Source organism: Homo sapiens, chromosome 1, assembly GCF_000001405.40.
Source record: "Homo sapiens chromosome 1, GRCh38.p14 Primary Assembly".
NCBI classification, from domain to species: Eukaryota; Metazoa; Chordata; class Mammalia; order Primates; family Hominidae; genus Homo; species Homo sapiens.
The window spans coordinates 148,748,515-148,753,212 of NC_000001.11; the positions used below are offsets into that span (position 1 = coordinate 148,748,515).

At 40.3% G+C, this 4,698-nt stretch overlaps 1 protein-coding gene across 1 annotated transcript; it reads left to right on the forward strand.

Moving 5' to 3' along the window:
* The first annotated feature begins 259 nt into the window (after positions 1–259).
* On the forward strand, positions 260–3,901 carry NUDT4B (nudix hydrolase 4B). The gene has a single exon (NM_001355407.2). The coding sequence runs from the start codon at positions 439–441 to the stop codon at positions 982–984; it is 546 nt and encodes a 181-aa protein (NP_001342336.1). The 5' UTR covers positions 260–438; the 3' UTR covers positions 985–3,901.
* The last annotated feature ends 797 nt before the right edge of the window (positions 3,902–4,698 follow it).

Below are 4,698 nucleotides of genomic sequence, written 5' to 3' on the forward strand. Positions count from 1 at the left end.
TCAAAGTGAATCATAGGCCTAAATGTAGAAGCTAAAATACAGTCGCCGTGGTGCTGCTGCTCAGTGGGAGCGGGTCTTCGCAACTGTCTCCGCGTGGCGCGCGCCTCTAGCCGCCCTTCCCCTGGCGGCTACGGCTGGAGGGAGCGGAGGCGAGCGGGAGTCGGGCTCCATGGAGAGCGGCGGACAACTGGGCAGAGGCGGAGCTTTCATCTCGGCACCCTGGTTCCAGTGACCCGCGCTAGCGTCCCGTCCCGCCCGCGTCGGAGCGGCCGCCGGCCCCGGGACTGACCGGCCTCGCCGCACCTCCCGCACCGACTAGCGCTCCCGGGCGCTCCTGCGCCCGACTCGCCCTCGCCCCCACTCCCCGGCGGGGTGGCGGCGGCCGGGCCCCCACGGCGGCGGCCGGAGCAGCAGCAGCAGCAGCAGGAGCCCGCCTCTATGATGAAGTTCAAGCCCAACCAGACGCGGACCTACGACCGCGAGGGCTTCAAGAAGCGGGCGGCGTGCCTGTGCTTCCGGAGCGAGCAGGAGGACGAGGTGCTGCTGGTGAGTAGCAGCCGGTACCCAGACCAGTGGATTGTCCCAGGAGGAGGAATGGAACCCGAGGAGGAACCTGGCGGTGCTGCCGTGAGGGAAGTTTATGAGGAGGCTGGAGTCAAAGGAAAACTAGGCAGACTTCTGGGCATATTTGAGCAGAACCAAGACCGAAAGCACAGAACATATGTTTATGTTCTAACAGTCACTGAAATATTAGAAGATTGGGAAGATTCTGTTAATATTGGAAGGAAGAGAGAGTGGTTCAAAGTAGAAGATGCTATCAAAGTTCTCCAGTGTCATAAACCTGTACATGCAGAGTATCTGGAAAAGCTAAAGCTGGGTTGTTCCCCAGCCAATGGAAATTCTACAGTCCCTTCCCTTCCGGATAATAATGCCTTGTTTGTAACCGCTGCACAGACCTCTGGGTTGCCATCTAGTGTAAGATAGAGAGAACTGGGTAGGCCTCTCCCACCATGTGCAGTCTCATGGGGAGAGGCTTCTTTCGTTTCCTCGTCAAACATCTGATTGACGCTTGCAAACTGTCTGAATTTGCCATGCAAGGTTTTCAAACAATTTGCATGTTTTTCAGATGCTTTCAAATCTTTTTTTAAAAAAATAGTGTAAAATATTTTAATAAGCCAAAGCCATGTGGAATTTTTGTTTAGATGCCTTAACTGTGCCACACCCCACAACCCCCTATATTATTTTGGTTGTCTATTTCTCACAGCATATTTTCAGTTTTTTGTCCATTTGACATCAGTCTGTGGTTTATTTTGTCATCAGATTACTTGTGGGTATACCTACCCCAAAATTGTTTTCTCATTCACAGCATTAGCATATTCAGCAAATCCATCTGTGGTGGGAATTAAAAATATTATTGGTTTTAAAGAAATCCATTCACCCCAAAACTTGTTTTACAGGATTACAATTTTAATTCAAAATTTCCAGATTTGGGCTATTTCTGTATGATCCAATAACTTATTTTGTCACAGGGCTTAATTTGCCATTTTTGGGGATTTGTCGACTCATTTTGTCTGAATTTTCACAACTGGTATTATGTCACTAGCTACCTGATATGGCTATTTCCCTTATAACTCAATAGTACCTTAACACAAAGTATAACTCTGTAGAGTTGGTGAATATTTTAGGGAAATATTAGCAAAATGCATGTAGTAAAGACATCTTATGAAAACTGTATTCATGGAATTTGATTTAGCATGCTCAGTTGCCAGTTCCCATTATCGATACTCTTTCTATGCAGAATACCTTAGAACCGTTATTTCCCTCAGTGTAGATTGCTCTTAAAATGTATTCAGTTATTTAGTGGCCCCCACAGGAGTGGAGTCTTGAAATCTAATTCTAAATGCCAGTCAGTGATGATCGCATCACAGTTGAGTGAAATGGCCTTCCTGTTCAGCTGTTAGAGACTGAAGATTGTTAGGGCACCTTAGAATGTCTCATCTTTTCTAGGTTGTCAACAGGTACTATTTGTCACATAACTAACTTTCGAGGCACTGGAACATACCTGAACTAAGAATTAAGTCTTTTACTTTATACTCACTTAAAATCAAGAATCCCATCTAAAACACATAGGTACCTTATCTGAAACTCTTGCACTTCCCCAACCAGGGCAGAAATGAGGTGGGAGAAGTTTGACTAAAATGAGGGATGGGGGAAAGTAAAAGATGTTTTTTTTTTTTTTGAGACTCGCTTTGTCACCCAGGCTGGAGTGCAATGGCACAATCTCAACTCACCGCAACCTCCGCCTCCCAGGTTCAAGCGATTCTCCTGCCTCAGCCTCCCGAGTAGTTGGGATTACAGGAGCCTGCCTCCATGCCTGGCTAATTTTGTATTTTTAGTAGAGACAGGGTTTCTTCATGTTGGTCAGGCTGGTCTCAAACTCCTAACCTCGTGATCCGCCTGCCTCGACCTCCCAAAGTGCTGGTATTACAGGCATGAGCCACCATGCCCAGCCAAAGATCATTTTTTTATATAGACTTCAGCCCTTTGTAAATATTGTAACTGGGGAGTATAGAGTAGAAAAAAAGTATAGTTAAAACATTTGTTCTACAAATTAACCTTTAAAAATATAATTACTGCTAAAAATAGAGTGCTGTTACACTTAAGGAAAATTAGTGCCATTTTGGAAATGAGATCTTGTGCCATAAATACAGCTGAACTGAATATAAATGTTCACAAATTAATGCTGTCAAAGGAATGAGTAAAGCAGAAAAACTTTTAACCAGCAACATTTCAAGTACGTAGTGTGATCAAACATGATCATCCAGAATTTGTATATTTTTTTCTTTGTACAGAGGTTACATATTCTGGGTGTTCTTTTATAAAGGAAACATTTTAAATCCCACAAATTGACACTTTCTATCTTCAATGGACTAAGATTTTTTTGGTCAGTAATCTCTGAAATTTCCTTAAATTATATACTTAACATAGCAGAGAAACTGGATTGTTTTTGTATATAAGACTGCTTCCACCTGAAATGCTGTCATAAGTACTGGGGGGGTGGGGGAGTGCCCATCTTGTACATGATATTCTTAGAGGTAATAAGGTAATGATGCATGAATTTATTTTATAAACTCTTGGACTATGTATTTGACATGTAAAATATGTACAGTATTAACGTCAACCATCTCTTTAAAGTTAGCCTATAAATATTGTTGTATAATTTTCTTTGGTCAGAAACACTTGTACTGAATAGTGACACTCGGTAAGGATTTTCAGTGCCATTTAGCAAAACGTCTTTAGTCTATGCAACTAGCAAAAATCTGCATAATGCAACAACACAGTTTTCACACTTCAAATTTTACATGAGGGGTTCTTCACGATTCTCCTGGAACCCAGTCTAGCAAAATGAGAGGAAAGGCCCTAGGGAGATTTATTTCTGTTAAATAGTTAACTCTGCTGAGTATGACAAATAGTGTCTACTATCTCAACCCTCCAAAATTTGCAGAGTGTTGGGACTGTCATTTGTGATTTTTTTTTTTTTTTTTTGGTGGGGTAGTTGAATAAAATTGGGCAGCTAAATTTTTCAGTTCCATGTGCCTCCCAAATAAAAAACAGAAAATAAGTAGTTTTTGTGAATTGACTTGCAGACAAAGTAGAAACTGTGCTGCATGATGTTATTTTGTAAACAGATGACATTTTCTGACCAGGCACATGCCATCCAATTTTCTGTCAATCACACTGTTGTATAAAGCAGCAGAACTGAAGGGGAAAAATGATTGTTGTATACACTGAATTGCTTTGCATGGTCTCATTTGAGATAATTGATGTAAGCATCCTGACTTTTTTATATTTGGAAACATCAAATAAAAATGGAAAAAATGAAAAAAAAAAAAAAAAAGAAGCTAAAATATAAAACTTTTAGAAGAAAACTAACTCTTTTGACCTGAGTTAAGCAGTAAATCTTTGTGACTTTGAGTTAGGCAGTAATTTCTTTGATGCAACATCAAGAGCACAAATAATAAAAGAGAAAAAAAGTTGATAAGTTGAACTTAATCAAAATGAAAAACTTCTGTGCTTCAAGGACACCAACAAGTGAAAGAACAGCCCCACAGAATCAGAGAGCATATTTGCAAATTATACTATCTGTTAAGGGACTAGAATATAAAAAACACAAATCAATAAGAAATGACAAATGATCTAAGTTGGGAATGGGCAAAGGATTACAAGATATTTTTCAAGAGAAAAATATGCAAATAAGCACATGAAAAGTCACTAGGAAAATATAAATCAAAAGCACAATGAGATATCAATTTTCACCCACTGGAATGGCTATAATAATATAGGCAGAAAATAATAATTGTTGGTAAGGATGTGGAGAAATTGGAAAGCTCATACACTGCTAGTGGGAAAGTAAAATGGTGTAGCCACATTGGAAAAGTTTGACAGTCCCTCTAAATGCTAAAAATAGAGTTACCATATGACCCAGCAATTCTTTTATCTTGGGAATCTACCCAAAAGCAATGAAAACATATTTCCATACAAAAACTTGTGCACAAATGTTCACAGAAACTTTATTCACAATAACCAAAAAGTAGAAACAATCCATTTGTCATCAACTGATGAACAGATAAACAAAATGTGAAATATCCATACAATGAAATATTATTTGGCAATAAAAAGGAATGAGGTACAGATAGA